Source organism: Homo sapiens, chromosome 17 (assembly GCF_000001405.40).
Source record: "Homo sapiens chromosome 17, GRCh38.p14 Primary Assembly".
Classification (NCBI taxonomy): domain Eukaryota; kingdom Metazoa; phylum Chordata; class Mammalia; order Primates; family Hominidae; genus Homo; species Homo sapiens.
The window spans coordinates 34,135,319-34,155,368 of record NC_000017.11 but is presented as its reverse complement, the minus strand read 5'-3'; the positions used below and the strand labels follow the sequence as shown (position 1 = coordinate 34,155,368).

General features: G+C 42.3%; 1 protein-coding gene across 1 annotated transcript in view; it reads left to right on the top strand.

The window, feature by feature from the left end:
* The window catches only part of ASIC2 (acid sensing ion channel subunit 2), a 1,143,682-nt gene that overhangs the window by 1,400 nt on the left and 1,122,232 nt on the right, over positions 1–20,050 (top strand). The gene's annotated exons all lie outside the window — the stretch shown is intronic.

The window sequence follows — 20,050 nt, the reverse complement described above, 5'->3', positions numbered from 1 at the left end:
GAGGAGAGGCCGGGCACCCCAGGGCTCCATCTGATCTGTTGGCAGGTTGAAGCCAAGAGATGTTCAGAGTGCTTGGGCAGAGAGGAGGGTCTGGGCGGAGGCACGTGTGCAAGAGGGTCAGGGAGATGCCTGTGAGGGTGAACCAGTCCCGGCTGCCTTGTCTGGGAGCTTTGGCTTGAAACTCAAAGGCTCGGTTTTCTCTCTGTATAATCACTTAACGACGTGGATGCAGGAGGAGGGGTGCAGGGAGGGGGCGAACAGCTGTGGGAATGGAAAGCCTGGGGGAGGAGTGTGGAGCTGAGTAAAGAGGAAAAGCGGAGGGGGATGTGGCTTACGTTCAGGATGGGGCTTACTGGAGGGGCAGAGAGGAAAGGACGAGAGGAGCACTGTTGCTGCCAGGGTTCTCCAGTTAGTGGGCTGCTAGGCATAACTTGGCATAATAGGTCATACAGCAGCTGCTGACTACTGTTTGCTGCCAGGCACGTCTGGGTATCAGGGGCTGTGGGACCCTCCAGAAGTCCAGTGTGGCTGCTTCCCCCATAGCTGCCTTAGGGAGGATTGAGAGCTTTTGAGTCTCAGAACGTTGAGCCAAAATGCAATTGCAAGTTGGGAATAGCAGGTATAGCAGTTGGGAAGGGGCTGACCTGTGATCCAGCACTTGTCTAGGGTCCTCTGCCTAATGAAGACATTGCTTACCTTTCCTGTGCTGCATCCATTCCCTACCCCCTCTTGGATTCACCAGCCTCTTGATCTGAGGTTCTTTTAATGCCATAACCAGTCTCTGCCTGTAGCCTCTGTAATTGCTGTTGGCTATCTCTGATTCTGAAAAAGCCCAGAGTGCCGGGGGCATTGCCTCTCGCAGTCTGTGTGCTAGAACTCTGTTTCTTGGAGGAGCTGTTTTGTATTATCCCTTTTAAGCCTTGTGAGGAAGAGCACAGCAAAATCGGCAGTAGTGTATGCTAAAGAGGAAGCCAGTCTGAGCTGGGAGAAGGGACCAGTAATATTGGAAGCTCTTCTAAATGCAGCAAACAGGATCCTAAAACATGTCATGCACAAATGATGTCTTAGGTGGCTTGAGGAGAGATAGAGAAAATGCCTTATTCTTGGAGGCTGAAGCCATCACTATATTCCACCCCGTTCTTTCTAGCGCCTGGCAACGCTCGGCTTCACCACTGCACCGTGCAGCTTGGAAATGCACTCAGCTGTTCCTCTGTCTGCCTGAACACACATGGAACACACAGACGACACAGAGGGTGACACAGAGAGAAACTGTAATAAGTAGCAGACTCTGGGTTGAGTTCTCTAGCTTCCTCCTGACTGCATGTCCAACTGGTGGCTTCTTCTGAATCCATGTCTAAGTTCCATTTAGAAGTAAATGTTTTTTGACCCCAGGCTATTGTTTTATACTTGGACCATCTTTTTACTTGCTGAGGTCCCAAGAGGTCTTTAAGATCAGGCCTTAAAGTTCGCCTGAGCTTTTGACCTCTTTGTAATGTTTCCCAAATAGTGAAATTGCCTATGGATAATATTTACTACTCTGTCAGTGGCATGTCATTATCTGCTGTCCTCAGCAAGTTCAAGAGTAATCTATTTGAGTGTCCATTCCTCAGGCTGGCCCTCTATGTGTGACCTTCCCCATCATTGAAAAGGGGGTGAGCCTCAGTGCTGCTGTTCAAGTTGTTCAGGGAGTATCAGAAAAAGCATCTACTCCAGGACAGCCCAACGAGGCTCCAGCAGGGAGGCTGGTCTCTGGCCCCAGCTGGGCACAGTGGGCAGCAATGCTGAGCCTTTACTAGAGGGAACATGATGCTGAGTTTGCTCAAGACCTTGTAGTGAGGAGTACTCCTCCCAACTCATCCTTTGTCCCTCTGTCTTTTTTTGGCCTGGGATATAAGCATCCTTCTTATTGGGCTGCCATACCAGAAGAGGGCAGAGAGCCTGGACAGGTGGTTGTTGGAGAAGCCACTTGACCCGCCTTCTCTTATTCATTTTCTCTGCTGTGCATCCCTCTCCAGTTGGCTTATTTTTGAGGCTCTATCTAGGATTGTACCATGCTAGGTGACTTCTTTCTTTAAGTGCGGTGGCTGACTTATTAGAGAAGTTAAGTATGGGGGAAGGGATGTCACAAGGGGATGGCTTTTCTCTGTATTTCTTTTTCTATGAAGCATATCTAGTGGCATCTCCAGTGCAAATGCTCTAGCATAAGCTTTCTTATTCCAAGCTCTTAGCTGATGTGCAATGAAGTGTGTAATACCCTTTAATTAGTGAATGAGCCATGATTCTAGCAGAGTGAGAGAAGGCTGTCTGCGGAGGGTAAAAGTCCCAGGGAAGCCAGGTGTGGGATGCTGACTACAATGTAAACAGGTGTGCTTCATGCTCATGCAAGTACACTCTTAGCCCTCAACTAGGACAATCTGATTTCAGATAAGCACACGTTTTTTCCCTCCTGGAAAAGCAGAAGACAGCTTTGATTCCAGATTGTCTACTTAGGGAGGTTGCCTCATTGACCTAGAGTGGAAGGAAGGAGGAGGGATTGTGTCTCTGCCCATGGTGTTGGATAATGTGAGTGCAAGATTAAGAGCAGAAAGACAAAGGTTTGAAGCCCAGCTACAACATTGTCTTTCTTATTCCCTGGTTGTATCTTGCGTCCTCTCTAGGCCTCGACTTGGTCATCTAACATGTGATAGTAATATTTGACTTACTAACCCACAGGGATGTTGGGAGGCAATATATGTGTACACTGTGCCAGCTACAAAGATGGAAGGTGGGGTTGGTTTCCATATTAGTAGTCGGGCTATTCACAGGAGTCAGACCTGATGAGTAAAGCTATGAAAGATGAAACCAGGGAGGGAGAGGTGGCTACTGCTTTCTCTGTTTGGAGCAGTGGGTTTACATCCAACCTGACTGAGATGGGGTTTCTTAGAATGGAGGTCACAGTTGGATTCGATAGTTAACTCTTGCTGACAGGTGGTGGCCCTACTGCTTGTGTCCAGGACATGGTTATTTTATGTTTTTTCTCTGCTCATCATGTTAGGGGTCATCTGACTCCAAGTACAGAAATACAAATGACATTTCAGTTTCATACTTAACCTACTTTCATAGTTGTATGTGTTTGTATTTTAAATTTGAGATTTCTTAGGAAATACATTTCTTTCTTTCCTTAACAAAAGAAAGGTCTCTCCACTATGAGATCTTGTTAGAGGCATTGTGTAGATCTTGTTAACTGACATCACCTAACATTATAGAGATGGTGGAGGTGAAGGTTTAGGAAGATCACATCTTTGGAATTCTTGCACAAGGCCAAATGGGTCCATAGCTAATCTAGTCTATCTTTTTTAAAAAAATTATTATTATTATACTAGGAACATGTAGGTGAAGAATGTGAGTTTTAGGGAGAAATCTGAGTTGGAATTCCAACTCTGCCACCAATTTGCTGTATATTTTTGGACAAGTTTCTTAACCTTGATTGTCTCATCTCTAAATTAGGAACAATAATACCTATCACTTAGAGCTATCGTGCTGACTCAGTGCCATAAAATATGTGAAGGCCTACTATGTGGCAGGTGCCTAGAGCAGGGTAGGCCTCTTGCTTTGCTTAGTGTCCCGCAGGAGCTCACTCAACTCTCAGTCCAGTGGTTTGCTCACTATTCCATACTATAACTTCACCAACAGCTTTGGAGCACAGGCAACTGCTGTGTTGGTGGTATTCTCAATTCTCATTATATATTAAGCTTTCACTTTTCTCTGTGCTCTTCATATTAATTCTGCTGCTCAAACGTCCTCTCCTTACCCACCATCTTGGCTTCCACATCGAATCCCATGCTCCCAAACTCAACTCTAGGAAGCTCACTTGTCCTGTGCCAGCCCCTCTCCCCACGCCAGGAATGGGTGACCTATGCACCCTGTGCACAGCTTTTATAGCAGTGTGTCATAGTGCTTCATGCATGGTTATTCCTTTGTCAATCAAATAGAGCACCTATTGTGCAGTGTGATAAAAATAGCCTAAAGCCTTGCCATTGTAGAACTCCCAGCCCATTTCCCACCCCCTCCAGATGAGGTGATAGCTGAGTGCAAGAATGCAGTCTCATTAAACCCAGACTCTGCATACATCATGCTAAATATGGGGGCTGCCCACAGGAAATACCATGACCCAGGCATGGCTTGCTAATTGAATAGTTACTTGCTGTTCCTGGAATAAACCCAGAACCCTTTACTCACGGACCTTTCCTACTCTACCTCTTTATTTTTTTTTTTTTTTTTTTTCTTGAGATGGAGTCTCACTCTGTTGCCCAGGCTGGAGTGCAGTTGTGCGATCTTAGCTCACTGCAACCTCCACCTCTCAGGTTCAAGCGATTCTCCTGCCTCAGCTTCCCGAGTAGCTGGGACTACAGGCGCCTGCCACCATGCCTGGTATTTTTAGTAGAGATGGGGTCTCACCAGATTGGCCAGGCCGGTCTCGTACTCCTGACCTTGTGATCTGCCCACCTTGGCCTCCCAAAGTGCTAGGATTACAGGTGTGAGCCACCACGCCACCCTCTTTACTTTTTATACCTCTTTCTCCATGTCTATTTATCTAAATCCTAGTCATCCTTCAAAATCCAGCTTTACCATCACTGTAGCCTTCTCCAGGAAACCATTGCCCATCCCCTTCCCATTCCCATAATCTAAATTACTCTCTCGTCTGTCTTCTAAACAGCATTTTGGTTTATTCCTCTGTTAGAACAGTCATTATTCTTTTTCTTGCATTAGAATCATGAAGTGCTTGGGCTAAAAATGACCTTAGAAATGATTTAACACCCTAGTTTTTTAGCCACTGATAATTTTTAATTTTAAAAAGTTTATTAGTAAAAGGTACATATATTTATGATGTACAACACTGCTTTGAAGTATGTATACATTGTGGAGTGGCTAAATCAAACTATTTAACATATGTATTACCTCATATACTTACCATTTTCTTGGGGGGATGGTAAGAACACTTAAAATTTACCCCCTTAGCAATTTTCAGTTGTTCAATATATTGTTATTAACTCTAGGCATTATGATGTACAATAGATTTCCTGGGCTTGTCTCTCCTGTTGAACTGAAATTTTATGTCCTTTGATCCATATCTCACCTATCCACCCTGCCACTCCCCAGTCCCCAGTAATCACCATTCTACTCTCTGTTTCTATGAGTTTGACTTTCTAAGATTCCACATAGAAGTGAGATCATGCAGTATTTGTCTTTCTGTGCCTGACTTATTTCACTTTGCATAGTGTCCTCCAGGTTCATCTATGTTGTCACAAATGACAGGATTTTCTTCCTTTTTAAAGGCTGAATAGTATTCCATTGTGTATATATATCACAAATCTTTATTTATTCACCTATCAATGGACACTAGGTTGATTCCATATCTTGGCTTTTGTGACTAGTGCTGCAATAAACATGGGAGGGCAGAATCTCTTTGACATACTGATTTCACTTCCTTTGGATATATACCCAGTAGTGGGATTGCTAGATCATATGGTACTTCTATTTTTAATTTTTTTGAGGAACTTCCATACTGTTTTCCATAATGGCTGTACTAATTTCCATTCCCACCCACAGTGTACAAGGGCTCACCTTTCTCCACATCCTTTCCAATGCTTGTTATTTTTTGTATTTTTGACAACAACTATTCTAACAAGTGTGAGGTAATATCGCATTGCTAACTTTTTACAAATCGCATATTTCTTTTTTCTCCCCTCCTCATAAGGCCTGATGTCTTCACTCATCCTTGTATTCTTGGCACCTAGAATTGCTTAGCACATAGCTGTCAAACTGCTTCTTCAGAGTTTGGGTAAAGTGGGTTTGAAGCTTGTTTAATGTTAAGTAAGTCTAGTTGATATATGGTGAAATTGTTGTTTTCAAGCTTCTTTTTGCATCATGGGTAGCCAGGATTCCACCTGCATTGGGATGACTTGTCCCATTATTGTTATTATTTAATAATACACTTTCTGATTATAGAAGTAATCCATGCTCATTGGAGAAAATTTGGGAAGTGTGGGAAATAATAAAGAAAGGAGAAACCTGGGCAATATAGTAAAACCCAGTCTCTACAAGAAATACAAAAATGAGCCAGGAGTGGTGGCACATGCCTGTAGTCCCAGCTACTTGGGAGGCTGAAGTGGGAGGTTAGCTTAAAACTGGAAGGTTGAAGCTGCAGGGAGCCATGATCACACCACTGCACTCCAGCCTGGGCAACAGAGCGAGACACTGTCTCAAAAAAAAAAGAAAAGAAAAAAAAGAAAAAAGAAAAAAAGAAAGAAAAGAAAAATCGCCATTAATTGCTTCCCAGATATAATTATATATATTATTTTAGCATTTTGGGAGTACTCCTATTCAGCCATGTATTGTGTGCATGTGTGTGTATTACTAGGCCTGGGATCTCACTTTTTGTGCATCTGGTGTCATGTCTGCTCCACAGTACACATCCAATCAATGTTAGCTTGCTCTCTTCTTGAGTCTCCTGGGTAGTCTTGAGGTCATTAGGAGATTCCTTCCTTTTAGGCTCAAAACTGAGCACCAGTTACTCTCCTTTGATGGAAATTTATTGATAGTATTTCTGCTTGTTTATCTGATGCCATCTTGGTCCTACTGTTTTTTGAATGTTTGCTAAGATGCACCAGAGATGTGTTCCTTTACACAAAGTCACACATCCTGACAGGCCCAACCCTGCTCCATGATGAGGCCCAAGTTTGAGTCAACTCTGGTTCTTCTTGCAAAACCATCCACTTCTCGCAAGACCACCTCAGCACACAGATGTAGATCCTGACTCTCCCGTCTGTAAAGTCTCTAGATTCTATGTCAAAATGGCCTAAATTGTAACTAATGCAAAATAGATGATTTTTCATATTCCTTAGGATGCTCTGAAGTCTTGCGAACATTTGGCATGCCCTTATGGGGGCAACCTTTGTCAAGCTAAGCAAGTTTTCCATAATGTCAGCCTCCGTTTGGGATCTTCCAGTTTAGAACTTTAAGCTGTAAGCTCTCTGGAAGTCGTGCTTTCAGGGGTATATAAAATTCTTTCTGATGTGATGAAGGGGTAAGACAATGACTGAGAGCTGACTATTTTGATGACCCACAATGTCTACTTGCAAAGAAAAAACTGAAGCTACTGCACAAGTTCCTAAATAATGCCTAGTTGATTGTTGGGTGAATGTGCATGTCTGTGTCTCTTTCTCTGGAAGATTTTAGACATCCAGAACTGCTTAGAAGGCTACCTGGAAGCTTATTGGCTGGGGTGTTGGTTCCTTTCCTCCTCTGTATTGTAGTTCTCTTTTCCTCTCTATAGAAAGTTCTTCCATTAATGAAGAGATGAATTTAACAAAATTTTGGTAAAGTGAATCCTAGTTTGCTACTGATTTCTTTTGTAAGAGCTGAGATGTGGTCCCATTAAAAAATCTCCCAAAGACCGAATTGGTAGCATTTAGCACTAAGTTTGCCATTAGAGGTGGTGCTCCATAGAGCAGCCCATATGTCAAAGTGCCACGCACCCCATTCCCTCCATGAGACTAAAACGATACCACCTGAGTCTAGAGAGACCTGAAAATTTGCTGTGTGCTTTCTCTTTTTTGTAGGATGTTTATGTTTGATGGAGCTGAGTTAAAATATCTACCTTGACCAGCAAGGCCATTTGACCCATGATCTATTACAACCTGAGACCAAGCCTACATCACCCCTCCCAGTTTGAAACTCCATATATCATATTTCACTCATGCATTTGACTTAAAACCATACAGACTGGGCTTAGGGGTTGCTGGATAGCAGCTGTCTCCAATGCTCAGAAATACTACATGGTTATTATTTGATAAATTGAAATTCTCTGATAAAAGCCTGTTTATCAGGTTGGGCTTTATTTGAGGACAGCATTCCCCAAAGTGCCATTCTTTGGATGCTGAAGCATCTTTCCATCTCCCAGTACTTATTTTCTTCTGATTTCGATATATTCTCTATTGATTGCCTCAGTAGCCATTGAAATTTATGCTCAGAAGAAATTAAGCATATAAAACAGAAGCAACGTATTTGCCTGGATTTATGACCTCTGTAGATTTAGTTGCACAACCTTTGGGAAGGTAATAAGCCTCAATGGGCCTCAGTTTGCTTATCTGTAAAATGAAGGGGTGGAATTAGGTGGTTTCTAAGGACTTGCCAACCTGTACCGCTCTAATGCAACAGAACATATTAAACATTTGTTTTCTGATCCTACATCTGTTGCTGAAACTCAAACTTTAACTTATGTTGGGAGTGGGGAGGAGTTGCTGCTCATTTGCCACCAGATCTATTTATCTATTTATTTGTTTGTTTAATTATAACAATTTTATTTTGATAGATATGTACAATGGAAGCAGAAACACCTAGATGCACTGAGAGGCTGCAGCAGGATGAGGGAGGCACAGAATCTTGCTCTCAAAATCCTGTTCAGGAGCCATGATATGCCTGACTGAAGCTCATCATTCTGACTCAAAGTTTGCAGCACAGTAGTCCAGCAGTTGAGGGGAGTGATACACTCTGGGTCTTCCATGCGTGAATTAGCAAGTGTATCTGTGGAAGACACTGTTGGTCAGCCCAGATCCTCTTTACTGCACCTGTAGGTAGAGCACATAACAGCTTAATCAGTCCCCTTCGTGGGGAGGCTGGCCCTTGGTTGACAGGTGCTGCCTCTTCTGGAGATACCTGGGAAGTTATTCACCTCCCCACCACCTGGGGGCAGCCAGTGGCCAGTGACTGACTGACAGGATTAGGAAATGCCAGTCATCTCACCTCAAGATGGAATACATTGTGGTGCAGTTTACACTCAGTGTTTCCCGTGGGATCAGGCTGAGCTGGACTTCTCCTGAAACCACATTCATGCTTACCTTTTCCCCCGCCCTACCTTCCCCTTCCCGCTTCTAGGCTTTTTATGAGAACACTCCCTCAATAAATCACCTGTAGAAGGTGTGCCATCTCAGGCTCTGATAGGGAACCCAACCTGTGTATTGATTAGTTTTAGCTTTTTTATCCATATGGTAACATGGACAATAGTCTAGGCATGTGGACCTAAGTCTGGTTTAGAAAGAAAAAAATACCTTTTTCAAAAATCTTTTAAACCTGGGACTTTCAAAATCTGTGTTTTCAACTCAAGACGGCGATAACAATTCCCAAGGGTGGCCCTCATAACTCAAATGAGCATCTCTCTGATTGGGATTCACTACTCTAAGCACAGCTGGTTTGTTCCCCTTAGAGTTGTTTGCCCAAAGAAAGCCCTTCCCAAGGTTTCCCTTCTCCGAAGAGCTGAGCCATACCCATTCTCCCAGCTGTTACGTGACTCTCAGCTGCTCACATTCTAGCATACACTTTTATCAGCACCTGCATTCTCATTTCCTAAGTTTGCTCTCTCTGAAAACTTCCCTTTCCTACCCTTCTACCAGCCTTCACTTCCATTTCTTCCTGAATGTGCATCAGCCTGGCTTCAAGCCATGAAGAGGAGGCTATGCATTTGATGTTGGCAGTGTCCTGGGCCCATCAATAAAGTAGAAGGCAGTGAGAGATGTATGGCTGACCAGAGGTGATGCTCCTCATATGTCACAGAAACCACGAGCGATGAGGAGCGTATGAAAGAACTCAGACAGCTTAGCATGAAAAGCGAAGTGGGTGGCTCACGGGCAATATGAGAGCTGTTTTAAAACACTTCGAAGGCAATCATAGAGAAGAGGAATGTGACTTTCTCTGTGTGAAGCCAGGGAGCAGAGCTAGCACCAATGTGTGGGTAAAAGTTTAGATAAGTGGATATCGGCAGACTAGAAGGAGTTGTCCTAGGAGTCTAGAGCACCCTGTACCCTGCCATCAGCTCTAGCTGAGGCCAGACAATTGCTTATTGGCAATGCTGCAGATGTGGATCAATGTCAGGTAAAGGGTTGGATTTAATGACCTCTAAAGTTACTTCCAACTCTGAGAGTCTTTATTTCCTTCCTGCACAGATAGTTGGGGTCAGAGGTGAGGGACATTGGCAGATAGCACTGGAAAAAAAACTGATAATAGATGCAATCCAGCACATCCAGACTGCAGAATCACCCCATTTCCCAATACTGTGTAGTCTTGAAGCTAAGTGTCTCAGAAGTCAGGAATAAGAATGGTGCCATATGAGACTGTAGACACAAAAGAGTGGATATTTCAGTTCATCCAGAGAAAGTGTGGGAAGTGGGTGGCTGGTGGAAGCCAAGGATTGAAGGGGCTGTTAAATGACCTGGGCATCCTAAAGTGTGTATGGATGGCTCCTCAAGAGGCAGTTCCCAGAGGAATTTGTCATAAATTCTGGGAGCTAGAGCCAACCCTAGAGAGCAAATCTTGGGTTGTGGTTGGGCATGGCCGGGTTCCATGTGGAGGGCTGCAGAGACTGAGAGGTTTATGGACTAGAGATAACTCTAGGTTTAGTATGGCTAGAGATAGACCCAGCTATAGGAGTTTGGAAGGAGGCTAATCTGGCAGAGAGAATGTCCTGCCCAGGAGCACTGATAACAGACAACAAAGGGATATCTGAGCTTGGGGAGCTTGGCAAATGTTGGAAGAATGAAGAGCTCTGGCACTTGAGATAATAACATAATGAGGTATTTTGGCCTCGTGGTACAATCATGGAATTTAGTGCCAGACAGGTGTAGGTTCCAGGTTTCCCTGACCTTGTACAAATTACTTAACACCTCCAGACTTCAATATCCTCATCTATTAAATAATAATAATAATACTGGTACCCCATAGGATTGTTTGCAGCAATTGAGTGAAATAATATAAGTAAAACTTTAAAAGTTATCCCAGATGTGGAATGTCAGCTGTTTTGTTACTGTTGTTACTATTATTATTACTAAGATGAGCTGGTGATACAACATAGTGACAGGAGATCCAGGAGCAAGACGATTTTTTGGAAATCTATATTGACAGTGTAGTATCAGGAAGTCCCCAGAAAGTATGGGGAATGAGGCTGTGATCAAGCCAGGGACCCAGCTCCTGCTATTATAGTTGAGCCTAAGCTACTATAGACATGCAGGTCTTGTCACAAATAAAAGTTCTTTTATTTGTTCATCATTGTGTAGCTTACAAAACCTGTTAATAATGGCTAACATTTTCTGAGCACATACTGTATCCCAGGCACTGTTCTATGCACTTTACATGGAATACTTCATTTGGTCTTCACAACAGCCAAGTGAAATATATAATAGTTGACATATCTTTTTTTTGTATGGAAAAAACTGAGGTTTAGAAAAGTGGAAGAATTGGCCTACAGTCACTTATCTTGTAATTGGTGGAAGCAGGATATGAATGAGGTATCTGATTTTATATCCTAAATGCTTTCTAAGATGCTATTTGATCCTCACAATAACTCTGAAAGTGGAAAATGTATTGTCTTAGTCTTAGTCTGTTTTGTGTTGCTATAACAGAATACCCGAGACTGGGTAATTTATAAAAAGAAAAAAAAAGAGGTTTAGTTAACTTATGGTTCTGCAGGATGTGAAACTCAACACTGAGCAGCCACATCTGGAAGCTTCTGGAAAGTCAGGCCTACTACAGACATATGCCCAGATCCCAGAGACATGGTGCTTGTGATATGCAAACATCATGACTATAAGATCCTAAGCCCATCTTTCCCTGAAAAGGCAAAGTTTCATTCACAAGTTTGACGCCCAGTGTTCTGGCTGTACTCCCATTGAAACCAGCATCTCCAAAGATGCATGACATCAGCCCAGAAACCACCTGAATATTCATCAAAAGAAAAGGTCTGCTGAGAGCCTTGTGCTGCATCAAAACATGGCAGAGAAATGGGAGGGGAACCAGATGCATGCAAAAAAGGCAAAACACAATAGGCAACCTTGCTTTATAAGAATCTGCTCTCATGGGAACTAATTCATTCCTACAAGAAGTAACCCAGTCTAGCAAGAAAGACATTAATTCATCTTAATGATGTAATCACCCCTTAAAGGGACCACCTCCCAACACCATCACATTTGGGACCAAGCTTCAACATGAGTTTTTATGGGGACATACTATATATATTCAAACCATAGCATGTACCAATATGTCTATTTCACAGTTGAACATAGGTTAGGCTCAGAGAAGCTTAGTGACTGGCACAACGTCACTCAGTAAGAAAGTGGCACCATTAGGGATTAGAGTTCATGCTTTCTGATTCCCTTTAGGGGTTCTCTGTGAAGACATCATGCTTTTTTTGTGCAGGGCTGAGCTGAATGAAATCAGGCCAGTCACTCTGAGAGCTGGGCATATAATTACGATACTCCTAACCTTCCAGCTCTGCCAGTCTGCACTAATTCTTCATTCTCTCTTACCCTGATTCTGTGCTTGGGAACGTGCAGGTGGAGTGCCAAGCCATTCTATAGCACTTGCTTCAGGAATGTAGAGAACCTGGAGAAGTCTCTTCTTGCCAGGGTAACACTTGACATTTCTCCAAGTTGCCAACTAGTGGGCTCAGGGGTCTCACATGAGGAAATGAGTATCCCTATCCAGGTGTGCATGTGATTCTGCTGTACTAGCTCTTTCCACCTCCACTTCTCCATTTTAAATCTCACTCTAGGTGGAAGAAATGATAACTTTATAGCAAACAGATATGTTTCAGGAAGCAGGTGGCAAGAGGTCAGCATTGAGAGCTTCAACTTCTGCCTCTGAATCAGTGACTTGATTTTGAATGTCCAGCCCAAGTTTGCTGTAATTGACAAATTTGCAAATGGCAGTGAATAAGAGCTGGAGCTCTGGAGAGAGACTATTTATTGATTCATATACTATCTGAATGACCTAATGATTATACACTACAATTGTATACAACTTTGATGACCCTGAGTATGTTGTTTAATTAGATTTGGGGAGAATTAAATAATTTGTAAACTACATAGCACAGTAGGCCTCAACCTATGTGAGATTTTTCTCACCGTTCTCTCTCTTGTCATCCCCACCTACGCACAAACTTTTTGACTTCTAATCCAGCACTATATGTATTTCTGTCTCTTTCTTTCTGTTCTCTGAAAAGGGTTTTTTTCTTGGAATACTCTGGACTGTGTTCCCTTGTATTTCCCCTTCCTCACGGGATATAGCAGTTGAGGGGCCTCTCTTGGAGCAGGAGTGATTGGGCAGGGTCTCCAGCATGCCCACTATGATGTGTAGGTAATTTCAGTTTCCACTTTTTCCTTGGTGTCCCTGAGAGATGCCCATTTGTATTTTCACAGAGTGCAAGAAGGCATTGGAAGTAATAGAATCTTCTAAAGTTTGGGCCAAGATGGCTTTCTTGGAATGATTTCCTAGCAGAATACTTCATTCCCCCGGGCCTGTTAGCTATTTCAGGGACATTTTAAGTGGCTATTAACAAAATGTTGAATTATGGCTGCAAACTCCTGGGAGCTCAAGTGACATTCACATGAATCACAGGTGAGCTCTGTGCAGTCAAGGCTGCCACAATGGGCTGAGATTAAACAAACAGGGGCCATTGTTCCCCCCAGAGCAATGAGGCAAGAACACCATTTCTTGGAGGCTATGATTTCAGGCAATGTGCCCCTTACATGCAGAACACTGTTTCAGGCAGGACACATAGCTCATTGCTGCAGGGCAGACAGATGCTCTCTGGTTTGCAGAGAGGCGTATTTCAGTTTTATGTCTGCAAGAATTTACCAACGCTTAGCATGTCCAGGAATCTACCAGCCAATCTCCAGGGTTATGAGTTGCCCAGCACATGGATTTAACAAACATTTACTGATGTTCCCTATGTTCTAGACATTGTGCTAGGCTCGAGAGAAGTGGAAAAGAATAATACCCAGTCTAGACATTCAAGGAGCTCGTGGTTTAGTGGGGAAGCTAAACAGTAAATAAAAGATTACTTTACACAAAATAACCAAAGTTTGCCCAAGGTCCAGAGGTAACACATGGTAGGCTCTGAAAATTTTCCAAAAGGAGATAATAGCTAAATTTTATTCTTTTTTTAAAAAAGAATTGGAAACAATTTCAAACATATAGGTGTTGCAAAACTAGTTTGAAGAATTCCTGTGTATCCCTCACCCAGAAGTTCAACAGTGGTCCACTAAGGTCCTTCATGGCTAAAGGAGTCCATCCAGGACCACTCCTTATTCCCAGTTGTCAAGGTTCCCCTTACTCTGTCTTTATTCTTACAATGTTTCTGTTTTACCTTGATTTTCATGTACTGGATTTTTTTTTTTTAATAATTCAAGGCCAGTCATCTTGCACAATGATCTTCAATTTTGGTTTGTTCAATGTTTCCTCTTGAAGACACCAGATATGATTTTTTGGCTGGAATTTCACAAAACTGATGCAGAATTCTCATCATAGCCTATCTGGAGGCATGCAATATCTATTTGTCCTAATACTGATAGTGTTTTATCACTTGATGAAGGTGTCTCTTCTGGGGAGATACTTTGAGACTATGTAAAATTCCATTTCTTATTACTGTCTCACCCTCTGGTTTTATCATCCATTGATTTCTCTTGCTTGAATTATTACAATGAACCTTGCCAAATGATGGTTTTTGAATTCCATCATCCTTTCTACATTTATTAGTTGGTTTTCTGAAATACAGAAGAGCTTTCTCTTTTTTCTCTTTATTTATTTACATTGGTGTAGACTCATAGATTTCTATTTTATTCAATAGGTTACAGTCTGATAATATTGTTTATTTTGAAACTCAAATTTTCCCACATTTGGGAACCCCTTCCAGCTGACTTTGTGTGCTTTTGACATTTCCCTGTATTTTTTGAAAGTTTTTTTTCTTTCTTGTGCAGCTAGATGTTCAGGTTCATTTTCTTCATTTCCTTCCTCAGCCCTTTAATCAGCCAGTTCTCTAACAAATCTTGGTTCATTTGAACAGGAAATGCTATTTAGAACCAAGATCTGAGTTGTAGGTATGCTCAGTACTACTAGGGTGTAGCTGCTTCCAGACCTTCTCAGTGGACAGAGCTAGGATAGTTACATCTACATTTACACGTACATCTCAAACCAGGAATTTACACAGATGCCGCTTATTCCAGTCTAACAGCACAGGGTTCACTCTGGCTTTTCCTCCTTCCATATTGGTCCCCGCTTTCTCTAGCAGTAGGAAACCTGTGTCGTGTTACCCTCAGGTTATTTACTTACACTCAATTCTCTTGAATGGCGCCCGTCTTCCTATCCCACTGGGCTTCTGTTCCGCTTGGATGCCCTCTTCTCCTTCGCTCTGGTGCCCTCCTTGTGTGCACTCTGGCTGCTACCAGCCTGCCCTTCATTCATATTCAAATTTCCCCAATTGTCCCCAAAACTTGTTTACAGTTTTCTAACTTTTAAAATTCAAGACCCATTGAAGATACAATCAAGATTCATGTGTTGCATTTGGTTATTTTGTCTCTTTTAATGAAAAAGCTCACCCCCCCAATCCACATCACACACAGAGTTTTAAAAATAGCTTTGTTGAAATGTAATTCTCATTCCATACAATTCACCCATATAAAGTGTACAATTCAATGGTATTAAGTGCATTCAAGGCATTCTGAATTTTTGAACATTTTTATTACCTCAGAAAGAAACCCCGTACCCATTATCAATCACCCTGCTTCCCCAATTTCCATCAATCCCCCCCCCTCCAGTTCTAGGTGATCATTAATCTATTTTCTGTCTCTATAGATTTTCCCATTCTGGATATTTTGTATAAATGCAGTCATGTAGTATGTGCATTTTGTGATAGATTTCTTCCATTGAGTACAATGTTTTCAAGGTTTAATCATGTTTTAGAATGTGTTCATATTTTTCTTTTTATTATCAAATGATATTCCACTCTATGGATGCACCACATTTTATTTACGCATTCATCGTATACCACGTTTTATTTATCCATTCATCAGTTAGTGGGCATTTGAGTCATTTCCATTTTTTGGCAATTATAAATAATGCTGCTATTCATACATCGTTTAGTGTTGACTTTTGGAAGAAAACAAACCAGTTTTCCTATACAATGATCCCACATATGAATCTATCTGTTTATTTCCATGTGGTATCACTTAATTTGCTCCTCCCTTCCCTGTATTTTTCATAAAGTAGAAGTTAGATTTAAAAACATGGTGAGATTCAGGTCCAAACTGAGAATTTCTTTCAATAGAGATGCTAGATCTTTCACTAGAGATGCTAGTTTTTGATCATTTGGCTAAGATAATAACTGCTAGGTAGCTCCATTGCCTCCTCTCCCATCTTCAAATCATCTCCCATCATTTGTCAGATGACACCACAATACCTTTAAACATTCAGTTTGTGCTAAAATTTGAACCTGAATCAGTAATTTCATTAGAGGTTTCAAAATAGTGATTTCCCAATTCTATCATTCTACATGTATCAGCTGACATTGTATTATAAGGAAGAATTTTCACTCATCAACTGGGGAAAAACTACAGTTCCTCCTATGTAAGCAAGATAGATGCTTATTCCTATCCTTTAATTACTGGTTTTCAGAGGATTGGGTTGTGTGATCATTGCCTAGGTGGACTTTGAGGGATGATTAATTCTCAGATGGACAAGGGATAAGGTATTCACTAGAGTCGAACAATGGCTGAAAGAATGACTGTGGGTGAAAGGAGAGAGCGAAGGTTGGTAGGACTCCACTCAGCCGTAGTCAAGGCAACTAGACTCCTCTGGATCCCGTGATATCCCATGGTGGGACTCTTTATTGCTCAGATGTGGTTCTCTCACTAGTCCAGAGCCTGGGCAGAGCTGGAGCAGAGGTGGCAGGCACTAGGGTTGGTGGAGAAGGGCAGTGACAGCATTGACCATGTGGCATAAGGCAGCTCAGAAAGTGTCCAGTGTAAGGATCCTAATCATTTAGCCTGCCCCTTCTCATCTTGTCTCTTCCCTGGCACTTTTTCTTAATTGGCACCCAATGCTTGTGCTTCCATGTGTGGATCTCCAGGGAATTCATGCAGCAGACCCTCCTCAGTGGGAGTGGGAGAGGTGGGGCAGCAAAGGAAAACTTCACATGTGGATTTCATTTAATTAAACTACCTGAATTAATGATGAAGGTAAAACATTTACTGAGCATTGGCTATGTGCCAGGCAATGTTTAAAGCACCGCATGTGTTTTAATGCATTGCATCCTCCCAGGGACACAATCGGGGAGGTACTTTTACTCCTCTCATTCTGTATTGAGGACTGAGGTACAAAAGATGAAGGCAATTGACAAGGTCTCACAGCTCATGGTCTCGTGCACTCCCCTATTCTGCCTTTCTAGGTGGGGTGCATGAAGAAGAGCTTCTGCTCGGAGGAGTTAGTTTCGTATTCTTCTGCTCCCAGTTTGCATTTCCCTGGATAATTAGATAATTCAACAGCTCACTGGCTTTGACTCTAGAAGGTGGGACTTGTGGGTGCAAAGGGGTCTAAATGTTTGGGTCCCCCACTAAATTCATATTTTAAAATCTTAACCCCAAGCTGATGGTATTAGGAGGTAGGGCCTGTGGGAGATGATTAGGTCATGGGGGGTGAAGCCTTCATGAGTAAGATTAGTGTCCTTATAAAGAGGTCCTAGAGAGACCCACCCCTCCTTCCACCACATGAGGACACAGCTAGAAGGCACCATCTATGAATCAGGAAACGAGCCTTCACCAGACACTGAATCTGCCAGCACTTTGAGCTTGGACTTCCCAGCCTCTGGAACTGTGAGAAATAAATCTGTTGTTTGTAAGCTACCCAATTTATAGTGTTCTATTATAGCTGCCTGAACAGACTAAGACAAAAGTGATGTGGGGTGGAGCTTACAGAGGGGAGAAACACCCAACGGACACAAAGAAGACTGTGCCCAGGAGCCCTCCACCTGATGGTCCACAAATGAGATGTTTCCTCCACACAACCTGCTCTCTGCCTTGCCTCCACAGGGACACTAATTATCTGGCATGCTAACAAACCTAGAGAATTAACATGGAATGTGGATAATGATGATTTCAGTTGATGGATTTAAAGCTACCTTCCTGGGAAAATATAATTCAGTCTGTTTGCTGGGAAAGCATCTTGGAATCAAATAGCACATATTGGCTAAAGTCTCAATTGTGGAGGATCAATCACATGTCTACCATGTGCAGTTAATTCAACCTGATGTCCACTTATTCATTCATTTTGTCTGTTTTGTCCAGGATGGATATGGCATGTCCCCTGCTCTCAGTGGAATCTCATATTTTTAGAAGGTTACAGATATACAAACAAATAATTTTAATTAGAACTGTCATGAAAGAATTATCTATACTGTGCATGGCAGGGGAAGCTAGTGCAGAGGGAGCGAGAGTGATTCATTCCTTCTAGGGGGATTGGAAAGACTTCATGGGAAAGGTAGCATTTTAGCTCTGCCTTCAAAAGGAGTAGAATATAACAAGTGAAAAGAGCAGGTGAGGATCTTCCAGGGCCAGGGAAATGTGCCAATGAAGTTACAAGACAGGTGGGTCCAGAGTATGCAAAATGTGGGCTTGGGAGACAATGCTGCATGAGCAGGCCAGAGACAGGCTGTGAGGGAGGCCCACTATGTTTGAGTATTGTCTGTGCTGATGAAAAAAGCCAAACTCTCCAAAATATTTGAAGAGGTTTATTCTGAGCCAAATATGAGTGGCCACGGCTCATGACACAGGTCTTGAGAACACGTACCCAAGGTGGTTGAGGTACTGCCTGGTTTTATACATTTTAGGGAGACAGAAGTTACAGGCAAAGACATAAATCAATAATGTAAGTAACACATTTGTCCAGCCCAGAAAGATGGGACATCTCAAAGGGAAGGGGGCCTTCCAAGTCATGATTGGATTCAAAGATTTTCTGATTGGCAATTGATTGAAAGAATTAAGCTTTGCCTCAAGAGTTGAAGTCAGCATAAGGAAATCATTGAATTAAGTAAGTAGGGTTGTGGAAGCCAAGGTTCTTGTTATGTAGATAAAGCCTCTAGGTAAGGGGCTTCAGAGATAATGGATAGTAAATGTCTCTTAAAAGGTGTCAGACTCTTAGTAAAATCTCTCCTGGATCAAGAAGATATGTGGAAGGGGAAAGGGATTCTCTACAGAATGCAAATTTTCCCCATAAGAGATGGCTTTGCAGGGCCATTTCAAAATAAGTCAAAGAAAATGTATTTTGGGGTAAAATACTGAGATTTCCTTCAGGGCCTGCTGTCATGTGATGTTACGTCAGAGTCAAGTTGGAGTTTAGTATGTTATTGCTACAAAGAGTCTGCTTTGTCAGTCTTATAATCTTTGTTTTAATGTTAATGCTGGTCAGCTGTGCCTAGACTCCAAAGGAGGAGGGTATAACTAGGTTTGTCTGACTCCTGCCCTGTCATGACAGCCTGAACTAGTTTTTCAGGTTTCTCCAGGATCCTCTTGGCCAAGAGGGCTCCATTCAGTTGGTGGGGGTGCTTATAATTGTTTTTTGATTGACGCAGGCAATAGGGAGCTATTGAGCATTCTCAATGACATGACCACATTATTATTTTTTTTAGAATAATGATTGGCAGCATCCTGGTTGAGGATGGTTTAGATATGAAAGATACTATAAAGGAATGGCTTCTGTTTGATTGTTTTACTATTAATATTATTATTATTTAAAATACAAGTCCTGCCTTTAGTGGATATTTCACCTTTTAATCATATATTTGTGGAGTGCAAGTCCTTGATGTGAATTACTGACTGTAGACTATAAACAATATTTCAGGTGGTGGGAAACTTCATCATCCTGTGCTGAAAGAATTAATCAAGGTGTAAAGGGAAGATTTAAGTCTATGATTCTCAACCTTGGCTGCACATTGGAATCACCTGGGGAGCTGTAAAAAAATACAGATGTCTGGGTCTCGCCACAGAGAAGTCTGGGTTGATGTCCAGGCATCAGGACTTTAAAAGCTTACCAGGTTAATTTTAATGCCCAGCCAAGATTGAAAACTACTAGCAAGAGAACCAGCAGTCTGGAGAGTTGGAAGCCAAACCTAGTGCTAGGTTTGCTGACTGATCTTCTCCTACGAAGATGCTAGCCCTAGACTTGGTCCTCAGCCACTTTCTATCTCTAGCTC